This window comes from Homo sapiens, chromosome 2 (genome assembly GCF_000001405.40).
Source record: "Homo sapiens chromosome 2, GRCh38.p14 Primary Assembly".
Classification (NCBI taxonomy): Eukaryota; Metazoa; Chordata; class Mammalia; order Primates; family Hominidae; genus Homo; species Homo sapiens.
This window is the reverse complement of record NC_000002.12, coordinates 85,850,703-85,875,312: the sequence shown is the minus strand read 5'-3', so window position 1 is coordinate 85,875,312 and position 24,610 is coordinate 85,850,703. Positions and strand designations below refer to the sequence as shown.

The window sequence follows — 24,610 nt, the reverse complement described above, 5'->3', positions numbered from 1 at the left end:
TGAGGTGGGAGGATTGCTTGGGGCCAGGGGTTTGAGACCAGCCTGGGCAATAAAGCTTAGACTCTATCTCTACAAAAAAATTAAAAATGTAGCCGGGTGTGGTGGTATACACCTATCGTCCTAGCTACGGGAGGCTGAGGCAGAAGGATCACTTGAGCCTAGGAGTTCGAGGTTACACTGAGCTGTGATCACGCCACTGCACTCCAGCCTGGCTGACAGAGCGAGACCTTGTCTCAAAAACAACAACAAAAAGATCCGTTTGCCATTTTCTTCCATGGTGGGGGGGAGACAGTCATTTTATATTGTTCCCCTAGCCTCCCCTCAACAAACACATATGGTGGGTCTTGTTTGAAAAAGTATCTCAATCCCTGTTTTCCATCTGCCTGGTGCCATCTGGACATTGAATAAATGCCCAATGATTATGATACTTGGACACCTGGAAGGTCTGGTCTTCACAGTGGTCTCTTGTTAGGACCGTGGTGAATTTGGGTTAACTTTGTGTGGGGATCTAGTTGCAGGCCACTGATCATTCATTCTTCTGTTCATTCACTCTGCAGGTGCTTGTTAAATGCCTTTTATATGCGAGGTACTTTTTAGGTTCCTGGATTACAGCAGCGAACAAAATGGACACAGTCCCTAAGCTGGGAGTCTTATATTTTAGTAGGGAGAGCAGAGAATAGGCAAATATGTATCAGTGGCAATGAATGCTATGAAGTAAAGCAGGAAAGTGAGGGGGTGGAAGTCGTGTTTTACAGAGGGTGGTCAAGGAAGGCAACTTTTGAATGAAAACCAGAACGGAGATGGTGGGGAGGGAGCCATCCAGAGAGGCAGCAGAGGAAGGGCAAGTCGAGCACGAGGCCCCCTTGGTTGACATGGAGTGAGGAGGAGAGTGTGAGATAGGTGGAAGCGGAACTGGGCTCTGAGAGTAACTGCCCTCTTGACATCTTTACCTCTTCAGTAAAGTCTTGGAGAAATCCCATCGTGCGTGCTGGGAACATTATAGTTTTAGAGAATGTTCATATAGTCCAAGGGCTCAGAATTAATTGCCTTAACACTTTTACATTTATAAAAAGCAGGCAATTGAATGACAGTAATGATGTGTTCTCAACACTAGAGGAATAGTAGATTTGAAGTAGATTAAAAAGCACGAGAATCACTGAAGTGCTTGCATCTTGGTTGATGGTCAAAATTAGTACAGTATTGATTGTGCGTTCACACAGCAACATTTTAATTTTTTTCATTGCAGAAGGTAGGTCCTCATAACTCTGCTCAGTTTGTAGGAGAATCTGAAAATATGTAGGCTAAAAATCTGTTGTTAATTACACGGCTTTCCTCCAGCTGTGAGAAACTTGCTGGTGGGCAGGATTTCTCAAAGTGCTGCACCCACATAACACTGGGGAACTTGGTTAACATGCACAGTCAGCATCCTCACCTGGACCTACCACCAGGGGGGACATTCTGGGGATGAAGTGTGGGAATCTGTATGCTTTGCAGCCTCTTCCAGTGGTTGTTTTTTTGTTTTGTTTTTTTGTTTTCTCCTGATGCTCCAGCTAAGGTCCCTCCTGGGGCGTCAGGCCTGGTTCTTAGCTGTTTGTGGGATTTACCGACCTGGCAGCCCACAGGCGTTTGGGACTCTGCAAGGCCAAGCTGAACTTAGTGTCTCCATGGCATTTTCTCCTCTTCATGGCCTCTCTCTACAGAGGGCTCCTCTTTCCTCCCTGTGACCTGAGTCATCCTCTCCCTTGACTCTCGCCTCATCTGATCCATCCCAGGTCCTGTCCGTGCTGAGCCTGTGGTGCCCAGAGTGCTGTGGTAGCCCCTCAGTAGCCTCCCTCCTCCCTTGTCCCCACTGCTGCCCCATGATTTTCTCCACGTTTCATGTCCCCTTCCTGAATAAAATCCTCCAGGGCCCTTCATCATCCATGATCTTTTTGACCTTTACCTTAATCTACCTTGACCTTGCTAACCCAACTTGACTCCTGATTTGCTGAGGGAGTTCCCAGGATGAAGAGAGTAGGCCTGGGCAGAGCTGAGCAAAGCCATGGTCTCAGCCCAGAGCTCGGGAACTTGAATTGCTCTCACGGTGGTCCCATCTCCAGGCGAGGGGGCCAGCCTTTAACATGTCAGTCATTCAGTGTCTGGGGATGGAAGGCAGATGTGCAGAGAAGGGGACACCCGTGTTCTAGTAGCAGCCAACATTCAGTGGCCACAGCAGGGCCACAACGCTGCTCTCGTCCTGCCTGCACCCCCCAGCCCCACCTTGGGGCAGGACTTGCTTGGCCCCTTCATTCTGTCTGCCCACAGCACACCATGTCTTGCCTCCTCTCGGCCGCCCCATGCCGCTGCTGTAGTTGTAGCTGTTGCATGTGGTCGCTAGGCGGCTTTAACCTGCATGCATCCCAACACTGTCTTCTTGGCTGAGGTAAGGCTTCCTGCCTTGTCTTCCGTTCTCCTTTGCCAAGTGGAATTCTTCCTCTCAAACACAAAACTCCAACGGTGACTTGAATGGCTGTTTTCTCCCTTCCCCACGGATGGTAGGTCCCTGTCTAGGTGCACGGGTACCAGGTGCACAGATGGTAGGTACCAGTCTAGGTGCACGGGAGAGGGCAGTTCATTTGTTCTGCACAGTGGGTGGCTTGGGGCCTACTTCAGTCAGACCTGCTGCAGAAGTTCCAGCCGGCCCCGTGCACGTTCCCAAGTACCTCCTGGACATTTTTTTTTTTTTTTTGAGATGGAGCTTTTCTTTCTGTTGCCCAGGCTGCAGTGCAGTGGCACAATCTCGGCTCACTGCAACCTCCACCTCCTGGGTTCAAGCGATTCTTCTGCCTCAGCCTCCCAAGTAGCTGGGATTACAAGCGTGCGCCACCATGCCCAGCTAATTTTTGTATTTTTAGTAGAGATGGGGTTTCACCATGTTGGCCAGGCTGATCTCGAACTCCTGACCTCAGGTGATCCGCCTGCCTCGCCTCGTGGACAGTTTCATGTGGTAATTTATCATCTCAAATTCATCATCTCCCCTCAAGGACAACAATTGACTTCCATTCCTATTTCTTTCTCTGATTGGGACCGAGGTTTGTCCCTGTTCTGCTTCTGTTCATCACCACTCTTGCTTTTGTTTGTCTTCTGTTCGTCATCAGTCTTGCCTTTGTTCTGGCTCAGAGACCTCTGTCCCCATTCCTTCCCCGTCCCCCTCACCAGGGTAGGCCTCGGGCTCCCCTCCTGCCTGGACACCACAGTAGGGAGGGCCCAGGATCCTGCCTTGTCGCCCACCCAGCATGCAGCAGACTAGGCTTGTCTCCTGCTGTGCTGGGAAGTCCTTCTGCTCTTGGAATCCTCCCACCCCACAGAGTGTGCTCTGCTGGCCATATTAGCCTATAAGCTGCACCTGCTTGCCTTCCCACACAGTCCACTGCAGCTATGTTGGTTTATTCTCTGCTTTCCCAACTTCAGATTTTTGTTTATAACCGTCTGTGCCCTGGTGTGACTTCACTATTTTAGAAAGCAGCCCCCTCCCGACATTACAAATACCCTCCTCTTGTTCCAGGTCCTCCCCATTCTGACCACCCTGCTGCTGGAAAAGTATGGGTGTGGAGGTGCATAGATGTGGGCTGGAGTTCTCAGCTCTGTGTCTACCCATGTGTGTCCTCTGGCAGGTTAAATGCAGACAGCAATCCAGTGATATAAGTTTTTTTAGGTTCACTAGATCATATGTCGGCTTATCCCTCTCAATAAATATCAGTGCCTTACTCATGCACCAGTAATTATCTGTATAGTTAATTTGGCAATTCATCATGTACTGCTTTATGGCATTTATTCTACTCTTACATTAAATGGTTAATTCTTAATTTTGAAGAAGTTAAATGTCTTACAAATTGACTGAAAGCCCAAATTTGCCCTTATATTTCTTCATTAGGGCCTTAAGAATTATTGAAAATACAGAAATAAGTTCTAGTGTTTGATAGCATAGTAGGGTGCCTATAGTAAACAGTAATTTGTTGTGTAATTCAAAGTAACTAGAAGAGAAGATTTGAAATATTCCCAACACAAAGAAATGATAAATGAGCCTTGGCAGCATAGTGAGACCTCGTCTCTACTAAAAATTAAAAAAATCAGCTGGGTATGGTGGTGCACACCTATAGTTCCAGCTACTTGGAGGGCTAAGGTGGGAAAATTGCTTGAGCCGGGAGGTCAAGGCTGCGGTGAGCCATGATTGCACCACTGCACTCTAGCCTGGGCAAAAGAGTAAGACCTTGTCTCAAAAAAAAAAAAAAAAAGATAAATGGTTGAGGTGATGGATATCCTAATTACCCTGATTTGATCATTGTAAATTGTATGCATGTATCCAAATATCACATGTATTCCATAAACATGTAGGATTCCAGCACTTTGGGCGGCCAAGGCGGGCGGATCACCTGAGGTCAGGAGTTTGAGACCATGGTGAAACCCTGTCTCTACTGAAAATACAAAAATTAGCTGGGCATGGTGGCGGGCACCTGTAATCCCAGCTACGTGGGAGGTTTAGGCAAGAGAATCACTTGAACCCAGGAGGCAGAGGTTGTAGTGAGCCAAGATGGTGCCATTGCACTTCAGCCCGGGCAACAAGAGCGAAACTCCGTCTCAAAAAAAAAAAAAAAGTGTACGATTATTTATCATTTTAAAAAGCACACAAAAAAGAATTATTTCTTCATATGGGCTCTTTAAGAAGAATCTGTTACATTTTAATATGTGGGTAGAGAAATATAATTTTGAAAGTCAGGCCTTTTCTGCATAAAGGTGGTTGCTGAAGCCATGATGCGGAGGCTGTTCCTGGCAGCCTGAGTGAGAAGAGTATCAAATTGTTAAGCCCTGGGGATCCTAACTCTTAGGAGATGAAAAAGGAGAACGAGGAGGGAGCCACAGGACAGAAGAAGACAGGCCAGCCTTGTGATGGCCTGCCAACAAAAGCCTTGGAGGAAGGCCTATAACCACCATCGCCTCCGAAACCCTCATAAGAAACTGCGTATTTATTCAGTAAACAGATATGGATGCCCTTTATATGCCTCTTCCCTTCCTAGGCACTGTGAAGACAGTGGTGTGCAAAGCAGAGACCCCTGCTTGCATGGAATCTGCATTCTAGTGGGGGAGACAAGACAAACGTGTAATTCAAAAGTAAAAAACTTATGAAGAATCACATGTCTCATGATTAGTGTTATAAAGAAAAAAGAAAGCATGCATACAGGAATATCCACATAAGCAATTTTGGTAAGTAGGGCATGTCTGTAGTTTTATTATTCTAACACAAGCATTCACATTATGTAAGTTAATTGAATTAAGGAGAGGGTCTCGTTTGCTTAACTGAACGGAGGCTATGTGTGCGTGTGTGTGCGCGCTCACCATTGGCTGGGTGGCTTCAGTGTGGGGAGCTATTTGTGACACCCTGTGTCTCTAGCTGAAGCTGCAGTGCCAGAACAGATCAGGTGAGAAAGTGTGAGCCTTCTGAAGGGAGGGGCCTCTGTCATCCTTTGTCCGTTGGGATTCACTCACCATCTCTTTGGAAGCCCAGTGAGGCTTCCACAGAAAGGGAGCAACCCAGTTCCTGCCCGCTGAGGCAAACTGGACTTGCTGAGTGCTGACATCCTTTATTTTGCACCTCCATAAATCTGTTTTTTTCCAGTTCAGCAAACGTGTGGTCCTTTCTTAGTGAAGTTCCTCATGATTTGTTTCTGCTTTTTAAGCCTAAATGCTTAATTTTGGGGATATTTTTGTCCCATACTAAAGAGATGATCAAGGGATCCTAAAAATATTTTATTTGGGTGATTTTCAAATGTCTTTTCATAGCTTAAATTTCAATCGTAGCTTAAGGATTTCCTCCCTAAGTGAAAATAGTTTCAGTTTTTCAAAAATAGAACTGGTAATGTATGGAATTCAGGTAGTAAAAAAAAAAAAAGGAATGCAAAAAGAAATAAACTCACTCACAATTGCACCACCAGGCCATGCATGGTGGCTCACGCCCTTAACCCCAACACTTTGGGAGGTGAGGCGGGAGGATCGCTTGAGGCCAGGAGTTTGGGACCAGCCTGGGCAACAGAGAGAGACCCCATCTCTACAAATAAACAGATAGCTGGGTGCAATGGCACATGCCTATAGTTCCAGCTACTGAGAAGACCAAAGTGGGAGTATCGCTTGAGCCCAGGAGTTTGAAGGTGCAGTGAGTTATGATCACACCACTGCACTGTTGCCTTGGCAACAGAGCAAGACCCTATCTCTAAAAAAACAAAGACAAAACAATTGTACTAACTGTTGATGACAGGTGTACTTTCTTCCAGATGCCTCTACGCCTATAATTACCTATGGCTACGTGAACACTCTTCCCCTGCAGTCTGATCGTTTTTTGTTGGTTAAAAGTATAATTGCCGGCTGGGTGCGGTGGCTCACGCCTGTAATCCCAGCACTTCGGGAGGCTGAGACGGGTGGATCACCTGAGGTCAGGAGTTTGAGACCAGCCTGGCCAACATGATGAAACCTTGTCTGTACTAAAAATACAAAAATTAGCCAGGTGTGGTGGCGCATGCCTGTAGTCCCAGCTACTCGGGAGGCTGAGGCAGGAGAATTGCTTGAACCCGGGAGGCAGAGGTTGCAGTGAGCCAAGATCACGCCACTGCACTCCAGCCTGGGCGACAGAGTGAGACTCCATCTCAAAAAAAAAAAAAAAGTTTAATTGCCAGCTGGGCATGATGGCTCACAACTGTAATCCCAGCACTTTGGGAGGCCAAGGCTGGTGGGTGGCTTGAGCCCAGGAGTTAGAGACCAGCCTGGGCAACATGGCAAAACCCCGTCTATACAAAAAAAAAAAAAAATACAAAAATTAACTCGGCATGGTGGTGTGTGCCTGTAGTCCCAGCTACTCAGGAGGCTGAGGTGGGAAGATGGCCTGAGCCTAGGAGGTTGAGGCCGCAGTGAGCTGTGATCACACCACTGTACTCCAGCCAGGGTGACAGAGCAAGATCCCATCTCAAACCAAAAAGCAAAAGTATAATTGCTATTGAAATTTATGACACAGTTATTCTAGCAATTAACAAAGCATGCCCCTGATTCAATGTTCATGTAATCCAACCTTCAACTGCCACCTTTTCACCGAACAGAAAATCGCAAACAAAAGAAATGAGTGAAAACAGTCCAGATGGTGTCAAGGTGATCATGACTTTCAGCTGATAAGCCCTGGCTTCTCCAAGGGATCATGGAGAGGCCACTCTGCCGTTTGTCTGTTGTTCCCAGCTTGGCCCTTCTCTTGTGATGTTGAGGGACGTGGAATCCACATGGTCCCTTGCAAATCAGAAGAAGTAATGCCTGCTGAGCTGAAGTAGAGGGATTTGATGAAACTTCTTGGGAAGTCAAACTCTTATACTGTGGAGGCTAAAGCAATGCCATCTTGGATGCTAATCTGCCATGTTGACTTCTGACTAACCCCAGTCCCAGGAAGGCTTCTAAGGTTTCTACTTTCATATACTTACTGTAAATCTTGCCCTTAGGTCAAAACAGTCTTGCCGTTATACCATAAGTCCTGCCCTTCGGCAAATTCTTGCATTTTCCTGAGGGTTGGATGTCAATGTCCTATACATTCCTTCAGTATGGTATTTAAGACCTGGGTGTATACACCCTCAGTCTGGGGAGTAATAGCATGGGCAACCATTATCCTGTCTCGCCGCCACCCAGGACATGGCTTCTGTTCGTAAGTCCCCATCACACGTTTCTTTCTGAGAAACTGGATTCGTCAGCCTCTTCCTTGGCCTTTGGGGGTGGGTTTGCATATGCCTGCCCACCACAGAGCACATACCTTTAATAGATATATCCCAGGAGGTAACTACATGTGTAGATGCATAGATTTTTATAAAACTGCCTTTTTCTTATATTTTTCAGTGTCAATAAATGTGAAGTACTGAGTACTTTAAGCTAGTGCTTCTCAAACTTTAATATGCATATGAATGTCCCAGGATCTCATTAAAATGCTGAGTCAGCAAGACTGGGGCGGGCCTGAGACTCTGCATTTCTAACCCACTTCCAGGTTACACTGATGCTGTCAGTCAGAGACCCTGCTGTGTAGCAAGATCTTAAGGACTGTAGAGTATTCATGTAGTTTGTGCTGTAATTTACCAACAAATTTCCTGCTGTTGGACATTTTTGATGTTTCATTTATTATTATTTTTTTGTAGAGGCAGGGTCTCACTGTGTTGCCCAGGCTGGTCTCAAACTCCTGGCCTCAAGTGATCATCCCATCCCCGTCTCCCAAAGGTGTGAGCTACCACACCCAGCCATTTTAGATGTTTCAATAGAGTTTATGCTTTATTCTTGCCATTATAATTTCTGTTAACATTCAGTTTTAGTTTTACTCTTAATCAGTATTGAGAAAATGCTTTTCTTGGAAGTTTATCTTGTTTGATGACAGGCTACAAACATGTAATGCACATTTCATTCCATTCGAGATGTTTCTTAAGGGGCTGCTGTGTGCCAATCTCTGTCCTAGGTTTTAGGGATACAAAGGTGAACAGAGTTCTGGCTCTGCAGCTCATTCCTCCAGGAGTCTGCAAAAGAAAATTCAGTTCATTGTGGTAAACAGAGATAGGGACGTGCCCAGGGATGGATGTGGTGGTGAAAAATGACCTCAGAGATAAGGAAAGAGATGCTTGAGCTGGGTTTAAGGATGAAAAGTAGCTCAGCAGGCAGATTATTGGGTGGGATTCCAGATTGTGAGCACATCCTGTGCAAAGGCACTGAAGTAACAATTTGGCACATCCAGGTTTCTAACAGTACTTCTTTGTGCAGTGTGATAGACAGGTTTGTCACATGGAGTCACAGAATCTGAAATAAGCTGGGAACCAGTAGGCAGATATGTATTTTTGAAAGACGGCTTTGAGGCGATAAAATTGAGATCAGGGCATTCGAGGTAAGTGACTTCTATTAAAGGCATGTAGTGAACAGGAAAAATTCAGGAGGTATTATTGGCAGGCCCTGGGGATTGACTGGGGTTGAGAATGAAAGTCTGGTTGACCTGCAGGTTTTCATCTTATGGCTGAACAGATGGTTCAGATACCAAAGAATGAAAGGAATAGAAGAAAATGCCAGGTTCCATTTAGGAATGTTGCTTGAGGTGAAGATAGCAAACAAGACATTAGGTATACAGGTCTGGGCTTAGGTGAGAGGTCCACATTAGAGAGATGGATTTGGTCTTCAGGGAGCCATTGTCACCCCTAGTCTGAAGCTTGTACTTGTCACAAAGTTACTGGAAGTGCCACAGCATCTGCTGCCTAAAAACCCAAGAATCCGAATGCACACGACTGCTGCAGGAGTCACATGTAGACACCTTCCCTTGCCTGCTACTACTGCTATCCAAAGCTTCACCAAGTCAGGGGAAAAGAAAGATTGCCTCCCAGTCTTTCACCAGCACATCCTAGGATCACAACTTTACGAGAAGCCAGCTGGTAAGAGAGAGTTCGGAAAATATTTACAGGCTTATAGTCTGACGGGCAGAGTAGAACAAGAGCCAGAGCACTGTCTGGCTCAGCAACAGAGCACCTGGAGGCGGAAGCCCTGGAGTCTTTCTCATACTCTTACCACAGTCATCTTTGTTCTCTGGAGGTCCACTTTGGTGTGAACTGAGTATCATTCCAGTCATCTCAGAAGTTTCCATTTTAAATATGCACAGGCTACAGGTAGCCTGCTGATTCCCACCACTTGGCTGACTGTACATGAAGTAACCACAGAATTGTGGTATTTGAAAACCTTCCAGGATCTCAGTTGTTCTAACTTCTCATTTAATAATTCAGCAGATTCTTCAGCAAAGGTTTATTAATAAGGCCCTCAACACTTATTGAAACTATTTTGATAGAATTATACATAATGATAAAAACTCTTGCTACACAGAATTAGAATTAAGGAGTTAAGGAAGAGATTGTTTACAGTAGCAGAAAAAAAAAACTTGAATGCCTGTTTAGTTTAAGATAAACAGATTTTTTTCAAAGAAGATGGTAAAACCCTAACGGGAAAAATGAAGTGAATAATGAATGAGATATAACTTCTTCCATCCAACTAAAAACTATAGTGAAGACATTATTTCTTAAATTAATATATGCATTTATTATAATAGTAACTAGTGCCTATATTAGTTAAGATATAATTTTGCCTTTAATTAACCATTCCTTAAACAAGACAGAAGCTTATTCCTCTATCATAGACCAGTCCAGAAGTAGAGTGGCAGCTCTCTGCCCTATGGGATTGTCCCAGGGGCCCCAGCTCCTTCTCTTGTTGTTCCACCATCCTTGAGTAATGTCCTCTCTGTGTGGTCCAGAGTGGCAGATCATGGTCCATATTTCAGTCAGGAGGCAGAGGGGATACAGGAGAAGCCAGAGTATGCCAAGGGAAGCACCTTGAGAATTGCACAGGATGCTTCTGCTCATATCCCATTGGCTAAAACTTAGTCTTGAGTCCTAGCTCCAAGGGAGACTGGGAAATGTAGTCTTCATTCTGGGAGGTACTATGCCCCACTAAAAATCCAGAGCTGTATTAAGTTGAGTTAGGGGAAAGCGAATATGGGGGAGACGGACCAATCCCTACTACAGTACTATTGGAATATTATTTAGAACTTGAAAATTGCTAATAAAATTATTTCAAAAGAATAAATAGGCAGGCACACAACATATTTTTTAAGAAAAGTGTTTTTAAATTGCCATATTCTCTCTTTTTCTTTTTTTTTTTTGATGTAACACTTCTGCTTTTAATGTAACTTTCTTTTTAAACTTTTTTATTATATAAATTTTAACCATACACAGAAGTGGGGAGAATTGTGTAGTGAGCCCTAGACCCATCTCCCAGGTTTAGTAAGTTATCAGCTTAAAGTTAGTTTTATCTATTCTCCCTGGCCCTCCACTTATCCCCTTCCTGAGTTCTTGAAGCAGATCTCATTTTTGCTATTTGATCTGTAGATATTTCTGTATGTAGCTCTAAAAGGTAAAAGGTCCTTTTTAAAAAAAATAAACTTTAAAGTTTAGGATAATTGTATTCACATGCGGTTGTAAAACATAATCTGGAGAGATTTTGTGTATGCTTTACTCATTTTCCCCCATGATAGCATCCTGCAAAACTATAGTACCATATCACAGCTGGAATCTGACATGGATACAGTCAAGATGTAGAACATCTCCATCCTCACAAGAGTCCTTCGTGTTGCCCTTTTATAGCCATATCTACCTATCTACCTCCCCTTCCACAACCCCTGACACTCACTAGTCTGTTCTCCCTTTCTATAATTTTGTCATTTTAAGAATGTTAAAAATCAGCCGGGTGCAGTGGCTCATGCATGTAATCCCAGCACTTTGGGAGGCCGAGGCAGGTGAATCACGAGGTCAGGAGTTCGACACCAGCCTGACTAACAGGGTGAAACCCTGTCTCTACTAAAAATACAAAAATTAGCCTGGCATGGTGGCATGCGCCTGTAATCCCAGCCACTCAGGAGGCTAAGGCAGGACAGTCACTCGAACCCAGGAGGCAGAGGTTGCAGTGAGCTGAGATCACGCCACTGCACTCCAGCCTGGGCAACAGAGCAAGACTCCGTCTCAGAAAAAAAAAAAAAAGAATGTTGAGAATCATACAGTATGTAACATTTTGGTATCAGCTCAGCATAGTTCCCTCTAGATTCACCCACTTTGTTGCATGTAACAACAGTTCATTCTTCTTTATTGCCAGTTACTATTCCATGGTATGGATGCAACATATAAAGGCTCTTTGAAAACCATAATCCATCCTCCTAACTCTCTCCTCTCTTTTTCCCCACTGCCCTCTTCGCCTCTCTTCACAGCAATGCCAAGTGAGTACACCTATGTGAAACTGAGAAGTGATTGCTCGAGGCCTTCCCTGCAATGGTACACCCGAGCTCAAAGCAAGATGAGAAGGCCCAGCTTGTTATTAAAAGACATCCTCAAGTAAGTACCGCCCCTGGGACTGTAGATCCCCCTGCTTTGGGTCAACTGTGTAGAACTAGGAGAAAAATTCAGTGAGAGCCCTCAAGATGGCTAATGTTGGAGAGGCATGCTTGGTCAAAGGATGCCTCAGACATTCAAAGGCACGTCTGAGTAAAGACTGAGTGCACAGCCGGAGTGAGCCTGTACAGCTGGCTGTATTTGGTAAGTGCACAGTGCCCAGTAGCTGCTCAGGCTCTCTACCTTGGCCTGGATGCCTGGGAGAGCAGCTCTCACCGTGCACTGCTCTTCATGCCCTTATTTAACAAAAGAGGGCTTTTCCCTTAGCTATTGTAAGTTAATCTAAAATATGGTTAATTAAATTTCCCTGAAGGCCCTTGAATACTGTTAAATATCGAATACTAAAAATGATGACAGGTGTTTGAGCCAGGTCACCCTTATATCCTAATAAGTGATAGAATTAATCAAGGAGGAACTTGGCAGGTGTCTTTTTTTACATATATACCAGTCAAACCTAGTTGAAAATTGCCCTTTTTTCATGTCTAAACATAGAAATCCAACCTTGCAATCTAGTCTTCTGTCTCACTTTACTGACTTAGGAAGTGTAGGGGAAAAGGAAATTTATAAGAATAAGGCTTATGTTACATTCAGCCTCCCTTGAGTCACCAACCAATATTTATTGAGGCCCACCACGTTCATGACGTCATGCTGGGCGCCAGCCACAAGGCAGCAGGGGAGATAGACCTGCGCCCTGTGCTGCTTAGGCTGTGGGTGAGGTGGACTCGCTCCAGGAATTAAGGCACAGTCTGATATGTGCTACAGACACTGGGCTTGCCTTCACACCCTTTTCTTTTATTTTTTTTTTAAATCAAAATAAGGGAAGTGTATGCACTGAATGTAACACCTTTTCTGGGGCTGAAGAGAAGAATAGGTAATATTAGGTTTTCAAGATTGAAAATTCAAAAGGTATTAAAGAGTCTCAGTGAAACACCTTCTCATCCCTGCTCCCCATTTACCCTCCATATTTAAAGATAACCAGTGTCACCGGTTTCTTGTGTATATGAGAAATATTTTGTGTGTGTGTGCTCTGCCATGCCCCGTGCCCAAACCCACTTTTACACAAATTGATAGCATCCTGTTCACTTATCATTATACATAATCCCAACTTGTCCAAGTTGTCATGGGAAGCCTGTTTTAAATGAGAATTTTAAAGTTTTTAAAACACTCCCAGCAACACTTCATTGTATTCTCATCCTCAAATATTAAGAAATATTTTGCATCTATTATGTATAATATATTATGCTAGATGCAATTTTTTTGAAAAAAAAACTGCCCCTTTATTTAGAAAATGGATTACTTTCTCTTTATTTCTTGCATTTGTTTTTTCAAGAACAGAATTGTTTAAAGCAGTGGTTCTTAAATTTTGGTTGAAACTTTTTAGCTTGCGGTTTGTGTCACTGGAGAACTTAGTAAAAATGAGATTTCTAAAACTAAGACTAGACTCAGCTCTTTTCTCCAAGTCGTGTGTGTGTGTGTGTGTGTGTATTAAACTATATAATAGTGTGAATTTATCAGATCTGTAAAAAATATTTTTTAGGTCATCTTAAGGGTAACTAATGGTCCTGTCTCATTTCCCAGTCGGCCTCACTTCCGGGTAGAATTCTTTAGACGTACTGTGAATAAACTGTTTCTTTTCTTTTCTTTTTTTTTTTTTTTTTTAAGGACTGACAGAATTTTCAGGTCACAAAAGATTGAAGCCGAGATTCTGTAGTTCAAGTCTATTACTTGATTTTAAGTTCAATAATTGACATTGTGATTCAGATTTTGTTACAGTGCTCTTGCAAAAAAAGTTTTTTCTGTGTTTGCTTATAACAAAGACAGTCATAAATGACTAGTTTATCTTGTCAGGAAAATAGGAAATGGCCCCTTCCTTTCACCCCAATGTCAACTTAAAGATTGTAGTTTTATGCTGCATAGCAGGCAGACTCATTTAGGATTCCGTTTTCAGTTTCACATTGCATCTCATGATTCTCACATGACTACATCATAATACCTAATTGATTTTTTTCCAGATGTACATTGCTTGTGTTTGGAGTGTGGATCCTTTATATCCTCAAGTTAAATTATACTACTGAAGAATGTGACATGAAAAAAATGCATTATGTGGACCCTGACCATGTAAAGGTTAGATATCCCATTGGTGTGGTTTAAATGAAAACATTGCCAAGCATATGCTCAAACTATAATATCATTAGTCTACTGTGTGACAAATATATGTTAATAAAAGTTTGAACTCAGAGGGGAAAGCACTTAATCTCAGCACTCCAAAACCAAAGACAACCTTCTTCTAAAAACCCACCACTAACTACTCCACAGTATCCTTCTCCCATTTACTGCAGCTGGGGTGTGGGATGAGGTGGGCTCAACCCAACAGGCTCTAGGGCTCCTCTCCTGGAATTAATTTGCCCTGATGCTATAAAGTAAACAACAAAGAAATTCTTTCTTTTTTCTTTTCTCCCTTTTTTTTTTTTTGAGTCAGGGTCTCGCTCTGCACCCAGGGTTGAGTGCAGTGGCAAGAACACGGCCACCTCAGCCTTCTGAGTAGCTGGGACCACAGGTGTGCACCACCATGCCTGACTAATTTTTTTATTTTTTGTGGAGATGGGGTCTTGCCATGTTGCCCAGGCTGATCTTGAACTCCTAGGCTCAAGCTATCCTCCCGCCTTGGCCTCCCAAAGGTCGGGGATTACAGACATGAGCCACCATGCCTGGCCAGAAATTCTCTTAGTATCATCTGTCCTTCCTGTGTTTTATTTTTAATTTTAATGAATTCACATTGCATTGCAAGATTTTTCTTTCAGCTTACATTTATGTTTCCAAATCAAGTGACATATCAAATGCTTATGTCACTGATTATTTTAGTGGCTGGATTATCTGATAACATTTAGCCCAGGATGGAGGAAGAGATGATTTTAAATAAAGTAGCATGAGAGGGATGATAACTGACATGTATGGATGCTTTATATATATTATCTCCTTTAGTCATTGTGACTGGGAGATATCCCAGTATCATCTCCATCTTACAGATGATGGCTTGAAAGGTTGAGCTGCTCACCCAAGTTCACGTCTAGTTTAGCTAGTTTATAATGTGGTTTAGTGCTCCCGTGTGCCAGGAACTGTTCTAAAAGTGTATTAGTAATATTAGCTCATTTAACTTTCATCACATTCCTGGGGATGTAGGTGCTACAATCATCCCCATCTCACAGGCAGGGAAACTGAGGAGCAGGGAGATTTAGTAACCTGCCCAGGGTCACCAGCGGCAGTACGTGGTGAAGCCCGGCTTGAATTCAGTGGTGTGGTTTCAGAGTCTGAGCTCCTGACCACTCTGCTCTCTGCCTGGTTAGGGAGTGTCCACAGAGAAGCCCAAAGTTAAAAGCAGCATGGTGCAGAGAGGAAAGAGCTTAAATGTTTTACCCAATTCAAATCTAACTGCCACTTAGTAATGGTGAAACCCTAGGCAGGTGACTTGATTGTTTTGAGTCCCAGTTTTCTCAACTGTGAAATGTAGAAGTTGAGTAAGAGAATATATACAAAATTCCTTTCTTGATCCTAATTTTTATTCATACGTTTCTACTTTAATTTGTACATCCTTTGAAGTGCCTCCAATTTTTTTTGTGGTACAGACAGGTATAAACAAATAAATGAAGAGCTCAGTTAGCAAAGGCACAGCTTGGCTCCTGCAAAACTATTGAGTCTCAGGGTCTTGCTGGTCGCAGGGCCAGCCTTCCCAGCATAGGTGTCCTCAGGTGTCTGCTGGCTCATGTCATTTCATCAGCATTAACACATCTGCTTTGGTCGAGTAGGATGTGTCCAGTACCCTCTGCTCAGGCTTCCCTTTCTTCCTGGACTGTCTGGCCTTGCAGACATACCTCCCCCAGTCCTTTGCAATTCCACGGCGCTTCACAGCTCTCTTGGATAAAGGTTTTAGACATCCTGTCTCTGTTTTTGTCTTCTGAGAAAGTCTTTAAATGATGGCACTTGGTATGGCTTACTGATGGACTGGGAACTCTTCCCTTTGTTTCTCTGCTGCCCTTCTCCACTTTCTCTTTGCATCCTCTTTTTCCTGTCCATTACCATCTGACCAACTGTAAAGTGATTGTTCTAAAGTCTGGGTCAGCTGAGGAGAGAGGTGCGCTCTCCTGTACAAGGGCCAAGAATACTATTCCACAAGCACAGGGTGGAGAAGGTGTGTTTTAGTAATACCCTGGGGGAAATCAACTTAGTAGTTTTCCTGTCCAGCCAGGCACATCTGTGTCAACCTGTGCCCCGGCTGCCTGTGATCATTTTGAACTTAAGCCACGTGGTCTGCTTGTCTCTGCAGTGGTCAGTCAAGTGCTCTGGTTGTTAGGCTGTTACTTGTTAAGGCTCCCCTAAGGAATCCTAGTGATTTCTAAGAATGACCAGAGGAGAAACTCAAGATCACCTCCCTGAGGAATCATGGAAGGGATAGGAACATCTGTGTAGCCTTAAGGAGAGAAGACCTGGTACAGGGCACATGGCAGTCAGTGTCAATGAGCCAGAGGTTCAGACCGCAGAAGGATGGGCCTGCCCAGGTGGCCTTAATGGCAGAGCTCTGTATAGGGATGGCAGCCAATCTCAAAGGAGAAAGGTTTGACGGTCCCAGGCATCCAAAGATGGGATAAACAGACCACCTTTGTGGTGACTCTCTGGGGATCTTTAAGAAAGTCAGGGGTCTGACCGGGTGTGATGGCGCACACCTGTAATCCCAGCACCTTGGGAGGCTGAGGTGGGCGGATCATGAGGTCAGGAGTTCGAGACCAGCCTGGCCAACATGGTGAAACCCCGTCTCTACTAAAAATACAGAAATTAGCTGGGCGTGGTGGCAGGCACCTGTAATCCCAGCTACTCAGGAGGCTGAGGCAGGAGAATCACTTGAACCCAAGACAGGGAGGTTGCAGTGAGCCAAGACTGTGCCATTGCACTCCAGCCTGGGCGACAAGAGTGAAACTCTGTCTCAAAAAAAAGCCAGGGGTCCTGTAGGTAGAATTCAGACATTAGACAGGGAGGGGCTCAGGGGCCTTTCTGATCCCTTCCAGGTCTGAGATTCTGTGGTTCTCAGCAATTTGCCAGTGCCTGACTGGAAGATGGAGGCTGGTTTCGTAACCTGGGGCTTTCAAAGTTCTGAATTCTGGGTGGAGTTGTCTCAAACGGTAGGCTCTCAAAGAACACCTGCATGCAGCCTAACCAGTCCCCAACTCAGTGACTTTCAGACTGAACCTCACTGCTACTTCCAAGCTCCTCTGAAGCTTGCCACATTCCATCGGTATTATCCTAATTCATACGAGCCTCTCATCCTGCCATCTAAAGTATAAGTTACTTGAGAGTAGGGACTATGTCTGTAAAAATACATAGTACGTGGCATTCTAAGGAAAGGTGTAGTGAGCGAGGGCTGCCCTTTAGAGTCACCTGCTCTTCCTGTTTCCCTGGTTGTGTGTCTTCTCACCTGCCTTCCTGCATCCAGCCATGCCCCACTGTGGCCGGAGTAGTCGTGTTCTACAATTTGAATCTAATATATTGCTTCCCTCCTTAAAACTCTTTGGTGCCTCTCCTTTACCTTCAGGAAAATACCCAGACTCCTTAGTCTGGCCCAGAAGACCGTTCATGACTTGGTTCCTACTGATCTCTCCAGTCTTTTTGTGCCACCTCCATTGTCCCAACTCTATGTATTTTAGGCACACTCAACCCCTCACAGGTCCTTGGGTAAACCTCTTCTCTTCTTTCCTTTTCTCTTTTTTTTTTTTTTTTTTGAGACGGAGTCTCACTCTGTCTCCCAGGCTGGTGTGCAGTGGCATGATCTCAGCTCACTGCAACCTCCACCTCCTGGGTTCAAGTGATTCTCCTGTCTCAGCCTCCCGAGTAGCTGGGATTACAGGCATGTGCCACCACACCCAGCTAATTTTTGTATTTTTAATGGAGATGGGGTTTTGTCATGTTGGCCAGGCTGGTCTTAAACCCCTGACCTCGGGTGATCCACCCGCCTCAACCTCCCAAAGTGCTAGGATGACAGGCATGAGCCACTGAGCCCAGCTTCTTTTCTTTTCAGCAGGGCCTCACGCTGTCACCCAGGCTGAAGTGCAGTGGCCCGATCATTGCTCACTGCAGCCTCAACTTCCCAGGCTCAAGCAATCCTCCCACCTCAGCCTCCTGAGTAGCTGGGACTATAGCATGCACCACCATACGTGCCTATTTTTTTTTTTTTTTTTTTTTTTTTTTTTTTGGTAGAGGCAGGGTCTTACCGTGTTTCCCAGGCTAGTCGCAAACTCCTGGACTCAAGTGACTCAAGTGATCCTCCTGCCTCAGCCTCCCAAAGTGCTGGGATTATAGACATGAGCCACCATGCCCTGCCCTTAAAACATTTTTATTGAGATATAATTAACACACCACATAGTTCACCCATTTAAAGCATACAGTACAGCCAGGCATGGTGGCTCCTGTCTATAATCCCAGCTTTTTGGGAGGCCGAGGCAGGAAGGATCATTTGAGGCCAGGAGTTTGAGACCAGCCTGGGCAACATACCAAGACATCATCTCTATTAAAAATAAAAACATTAGCCTTGTGTGGTGTCTCACAACTGTAGTCTTAGCTACTCCAGAGACTAAGGCAGAAGGATCACTTGCGCCCAGGAGTTTGAGATTACAGTGAGCTATAATCATGCCACTGCACTCCAGCCCATAAAACAGAACAGAACAAGACACTGAGAAAAAAAAAAGGGATACAGTGCAGTGATTTTGTGCAATACACTATGGTTTTAGTGATTTACAGAACTGTGCAACCATCACCATGATCTAAGTTTAGAAGGTTTTTAGTATCCCAAAAAGAAACTCCATATCCATTCATAGTCACTCCCTATTTCCCCCTCCCCACAAATCCTAGGCAACCAGTAATCTACTTTCTGTCTGTATAGATTTGCCTATTATGGACATTTCATGTTATTCATTTCATGGTCTCCTGTGACTGGATTCTTTCACTTAGGATAATGTTTTGAAGGTACACCCATGTTGTAGCATGTATCGGTACTTCATTATTATTTCTGGATAATACCTCATTGTATGGATATACCTCATTTTGTTTATCCATTCATCAGTTAGTGGACATTTGGGTTGTGTCCACTTTTGGCTATTATGAATAATGCTGCTGTGAACATGTGTATGTAAGTATTTGTGTACCTGTTTTCAGTTCTTTTATGTATATACTAGGAATATAGTTGCTGGGTCATATGGTAACTATGTTTTGCTTTTTGAGGAACTGCCAAGCTGTTTTCCAAAATGGTTGCATTATTTTACATTCTTGTAAGCAAGGTACCAGAGTTTCAGTTTCTCCGCATCTTTATCAACATTTGTTATTATCTTTCCTTTTTTACTACTGTCATCCTGATAGATGTTAAGTGATATCTCATTGTGGTTTTGATTTGCTGATAGCTAATGATGCTGAGCATCTTTCCCATGTGCTCTCATTGACCGTATGTGTGTTTTCTTTGGAGGAATGCCCATTCAGATCCTTTGCCCATTTTTAATTGGGCTATTTGACTTTTTATTCTTAAATTGTAAGAGTTCTTTCTGTGTTCTGGATACCAGTACCCTATATCTGGTATGTGATTTCCAAGTATTTTCTCCACTCTCTAAGTTGTCTTTTCACTTTCTTTAGGGTATCATTTTTAGCACAAAAGTCTTTAATTCTGATGAAACCCAATTTACCTATTTTTCCTTTGGTCATTTATGCTTTTGGTGTCATATCTAAGAAACTATTGTTTAGTCCCAAGTTTTCTTCTAGTATGTTTATAACATACTACCTCTTACATTTAGGTCTTTGATTCGTTTTGCATTAATTTTTGTATATGGTATATTAGTCCATTTTCACTACTGATAAAGACATACCTAAGACTGGGCAATTTACAGAAGAGGTTTAATTGTAGTTACAACTCCACATGGCAGGGGAAGCCTCACAATCATGGCAGAAGGCAAGGAGGAGCAAGTCACGTCTTACATGAATGGCAGCAGGCAAAAGAGAGAAACTGTGCAGGGAAACTCCCATTTTTAAAACCATCAGATCTCATGAGACCCATTCACTACCACAAGAACGGCACAGGAAAGACCTGCCCCCATGATTCAGTCATCTACCACTGGGTCCTTCCCACAACACATGGGAATTATGGGAGCTACCAGATGAGATTTGGGTGGGGACAAAGAGTCAAACCATATCAGTGTGAGGTCAGGGTCCAAGGTCATCCTTTTGCATGTTGTTCTCCAGTTGTCCCAGGACCATTTGTTGAAAAGAACTTTCCTCTATTTGCTGCATTCTTTCTTTCTTTGCTGCCTAGAGCCTTTCCCTGCCCTTCGCCCTTCTGTTACTCGTATTTTAAGTCAAGTCTCAGCTCAGCGGTTACCCCTTCTAAGAGGCTATCCCTGATCGTCCCTCTGTGTGTGTGAGAGAGCCCCCTCATGCCTTAATCCTGATGTTTATCATTGTAGGATTTCAGCTGTTCATCTTCCCCACTTGTTTTCCAGGCCAGGTCTTGGGAGACAGGGGCTGTGTGCTTAACATCTTACATTACTTAATATGCACTTACATATATTCAACTTCAGGGGGAAGGGGAGATAGTACTTGAATCACAGTGTAATCTTCCATTACCTGTGAACTCTAGATTGTACAGAAAATCCGGTTATAACTTGTAATTCTTTGAGTACATCAGTAATGCACCTTAGGTTTAATGTGAGGAACAGGACTGATAGTTCTCTTCAACCTAAACATCCACTGGTAGACAGGGAAAAGCCCAGCACCCGCTCCCTGCCCCTTCTCCCTGAACCATGGAATGTAAGTCCTTTCATTAGGCTACTGGGCCAATTTTTAGACCTAAGCTCATGGCTGGACCAATAGTAGCCTTCATAGATGCCAATGCCCTTCCTTGATGGGCTTCAGTGAGGACTCCTGACCAATCACTGACGAGGGGGGTTGGGAGGACTTCTGATGGGGGAGTTGGCCTCCCTGGTCCTACACCTACCTGCCTGGAGAAGGAGCCAAAGCCACTTAAGCAAAACTGAGCAGCAGCCCACAGTGTCCATCTACCATGTCACCCCAGTGCTGAGCGATTTCTAAAAGGTTACTTTTTTCAATTATTTAAAAAAAACACCAAAAATTCAAGTAATACGGAAATAAGTAAAGGAGAAAGTCCCCTGTAATTTTTCATAGAGAAAGAGGAAGGAATGGGGGGCAGCTGTGTAAGTCAAACATGTTTGTAAAACTCCGTGAGTTTGAAACTAGTAAAATAGAAAGTGAAAGCCTGCTATAATTATGGTGGAATTGAGGGTGTCTTATTGTGTTACTAGAGAATTTTTTTAAGTAGGTTTTTAACATTTTGACCTTGTTAAAATGCTCCACTTTTCAAAACGGTCCTGACAGGATATCCTGCTTCCTTCCACGCAGAAGAGGTGGTTTGTGCAGAAGTGCAGGCCTCAGAATGCTTTGCACATGAGAGGAATGGCAAGAGTTGCCTATCACTGAGGATTTGGGGAGGAGGGATCACAGGATATGGGACTGAAAATGAGACAGGGCCAGATAGCAAAAGGCCTTGAATGCTACACTAAGCACGAAGCAGCTCCTTAATTTGTGCATCACTGAAGCAAGAATAGAGTGGAGGACATGGCCCGTGTGGTCCTCGTGTTCTGAGTGGCTATGACATGGAGTTCTGTGTGAGCTCTCCATGAAGAAAATCCCGTCTCCAGGCAGTCAGTGGAGATTTGATCCTTACCACAAGAGCACGTGGACAAATTTGAATTATCGTGGATGTATATGGGCAGAAGAAGGTCTCAGAGCCATAAGGGTGGGGCCCTGTTAGCTCTGTTGGTTCCACTCAGCAGCCCACAGTGTGAGTGGGACCCTGCCAGCCCTGCTAGACTTGAGCATTGTCTGGTGACGCTGGTCCCCGCCTTCATTACTGCAGCAGAGGAAGTGTGGCTGTGGCAGTTGTGGGTTTTGTATTTTCTATTTAAATATGTCCCTTAATGTGCCAGTTGTTAAAAAGACTACCAGTGGGCTCTGAAGGGATGCCTGGACACTTTGAAAGTGTGGTTCAGATGTGAAATTGCACTCAAAAGATGTTTTAAGAGAGACGAGGGCACGTTGATGTCAGTTTCGGTTTGGGCTGTGTAGTAGCAGCATTTTGAACTTGGCCCTCTCTCCTTTCTGAGAGCTAAAGACCTTATCTCCCTGCGGATGGCATTGCGTGCAGTTAATTATGGCCAGATGGACTCAGCCGCTTCTTCATCGTCTTCTCTCGGACTCTGCAGACCTACACCGTGCCTTTAAAGGAAGCAGGGCCCTCCCTGCTGAAGCATTCAGTGAGCCCAGGCACCAGCATCTTCAAACCGAGTCTTTTCTCTCCTTAGTGCTGCTCCCCGCTTTCCAGGCCTTCCTGGGATATCTTAGAGGTAAGAAAACTGAAGCCTCGACCTAGGGAGAAATGCTTTAACAAAGACGACGCTGCTAGTTAAATCAATCTAGAACTGAGTCCAGCCTCCAGATCTCCTGATTATTTTTTTTTCTAACAGTTGATGGGATGAAATCTACATAAGATTTAATCCTTTGAAGCCCATTGTTTGATGAGTATTAAAAACTTATGCAGCCACGCCTCTGTCACCACAATCCCGCTTTAGCACATTCCCATGGCCCAAGCGAGTTCCCCGGAGCCCCTCTGCAGTCAGTCCCCACCCTCAACCCCACCCCAGGCTTCCACCAACTGGTTGAGTTTATAGTGTAGTGTTATTTCCATGACTTGGTTATTTAAATTTTTTTCTGCTTCTAACTGGGTAAGAGTTATAACTTAAATGTGAGTAAAATATGTCAATAACGTGACCCTCAGTTATTGTCCTTGTGTGATATCATACAAGTCTCCACACATGCCAGGTACTGGGCAAAATGCTTAGGGCATCAGAGCAACCTGCGAAGAAGCGACCAGCACCAGAGTTTACAGGTGTGGGAAATGAAAGTTCCACAAGGTCACTGATGCCCCCAGATCACGTGATCCATGGCAGAATTGAGCTCCTTCCCACATCTCATTAATGCCAGACACAAGTTTTCTTTCAATCTGAATGCTCTGCCCTGTTCCGGATTTTTAAAAAATAATAAGTGCAATAGAACATTGCCTTTTACTAAGAATTATGCCACTTACTTGTATTTCTGAGAAGGGTTGTCCTTAAGATTTCAGAGTGGAAATGAAAGTGGGGATTTTGCTGAGGAAAATTACTTTGATTGTTTTTAATACCTTTCTGTGAATTTCACATGATGTTTTTATGGCACACTGCCACAGCATTAACAATTGGCACTACCAGATGTCTACTTTGTCTTAATTGTGGGCAACCTGCAAGCGCAGCCTGGAAGATGTTAAAAACTGAAACCTTTATTTTTGTCCCTGGATATAAGACGAACGGGAGTTCTTGTATTTTACGAGAGAGTCACCAGCTCCTGGCTTCCAGTGAGCCTCATCTGGATGAATGCCACCCAGGCCCCAGCTGACGCCTCTGAGGCCTTCCTGGGAGCTCTGGAGTCCTCACAGCCTAGTCACACTGCTTCCTCTCTTCATTGCAGCTCCTGAAGGTGCGGCACTCGCCTTGAGGCACTTTCTTCTGAGCTGTGAGCTATGGGCAAGCAGTGGAGGGGGAAGAGAGCAGCTGAAGCAGATGCCGGTTCAACTTACTTAAAGATGTGGGACAAGCTCTGAGGAAGCCCCCAAGACAATGATGTCTGGTTGTGCACCATTGAAGCAAGAACAGAAACCATCCCAGAGTGGAGGACATGGCCCATGTGGTCCTCCTGTTCTGAGTGGCTATGAGATGGAGTTCTGTGTGAGCTCTCTACAGAAAAAGCCCTGTCTCCAGGCAATCAGTGGAGATCTGTTAAACGAGTTGAAACAAAAGAGGACAAGGAATTGCTGTGGCTTTAGACGTTGCCAGGACATGTAGAAACTCACTCAGGATTTACTACTGCATCCACTGTCACTTAGGCGCAGGAGGGGTCACAGTCAGAAGGTGACTACTGAGAAATGTGCCCTACCCACAGTCTAGAAAATTAAGTTTGGGCTGGGCGTGGTGGCTCACATCTATAATCCCAGAACTTTGGAAGGTGGAGGCAGGTGGATCACTAGGTCAGGAGTTTGAGACCAGCCTGACCAACATGGTGAAACCCCGTCTGTACTGAAAATACAAAAAGTAGCCGGGTGTGTCAGTGCACGCCTGTAATCCCAGCTACTCAGGAACCTGAGGCAGGAGAATGGCTTGAAACTGGGAGGCAGAGGTTGCAGTGAGCTGAAATTGCGCCACTGCACTCCAGCCTGGGTGACAGAGCGAGACTCTGTCTCAAAAAAAAAAAAAGAAAAAAAAAGAAGAAAATTAAGTTTGAAACCTGAAATTAACCTCTTGGTGAGAATGGAAATGGAATGAAATTTCACTCCTTTCCAGATGCAGCTTCTGAAGAGGAGACCTGGCAGCCTGGCGAGCATCCAGCTCGCTCACGCACCTCTTTCTAGTCCCGTGGCCATCAGTGAGCTTCTCCGGGTCCCTCTTGCCACTTCTCAGATGTTCCTTTCTGTC

General features: G+C 44.4%; 1 protein-coding gene across 20 annotated transcripts in view, besides 4 other annotated features; it reads left to right on the top strand.

The window, feature by feature from the left end:
- The window catches only part of ST3GAL5 (ST3 beta-galactoside alpha-2,3-sialyltransferase 5), a 51,915-nt gene that overhangs the window by 13,722 nt on the left and 13,583 nt on the right, over positions 1 to 24,610 (top strand). For 6 of the 20 annotated variants that reach the window (NM_003896.4, NM_001354226.2, NM_001354229.2 and 3 more), the window contains 2 exons: positions 11,828 to 11,951; positions 14,021 to 14,132. In NM_003896.4, coding sequence (NP_003887.3) covers positions 11,828 to 11,951; positions 14,021 to 14,132 — 236 coding nt within the window. Of the gene's footprint in view, positions 1 to 5,054; positions 5,242 to 7,254; positions 7,469 to 7,642; positions 7,709 to 11,827; positions 11,952 to 14,020; positions 14,133 to 21,137; positions 22,454 to 23,609; positions 24,050 to 24,610 lie in introns of those variants that run through there. The other 14 variants (NM_001354227.2, XM_047446237.1, XR_007084237.1 and 11 more) reach the window with 13 other exon arrangements.
- Positions 13,937 to 14,016: an enhancer, noted in NCBI's record as "active region_16143". NCBI's record gives its function as "activates an Ori minimal core promoter by ATAC-STARR-seq in GM12878 lymphoblastoid cells {active_cell/tissue: GM12878}" and the evidence as "EXISTENCE:reporter gene assay evidence [ECO:0000049][PMID:35858748]".
- Positions 21,117 to 21,246: an enhancer, noted in NCBI's record as "active region_16142". NCBI's record gives its function as "activates an Ori minimal core promoter by ATAC-STARR-seq in GM12878 lymphoblastoid cells {active_cell/tissue: GM12878}" and the evidence as "EXISTENCE:reporter gene assay evidence [ECO:0000049][PMID:35858748]".
- Positions 21,617 to 21,716: an enhancer, noted in NCBI's record as "active region_16141". NCBI's record gives its function as "activates an Ori minimal core promoter by ATAC-STARR-seq in GM12878 lymphoblastoid cells {active_cell/tissue: GM12878}" and the evidence as "EXISTENCE:reporter gene assay evidence [ECO:0000049][PMID:35858748]".
- Positions 21,727 to 21,866: an enhancer, noted in NCBI's record as "active region_16140". NCBI's record gives its function as "activates an Ori minimal core promoter by ATAC-STARR-seq in GM12878 lymphoblastoid cells {active_cell/tissue: GM12878}" and the evidence as "EXISTENCE:reporter gene assay evidence [ECO:0000049][PMID:35858748]".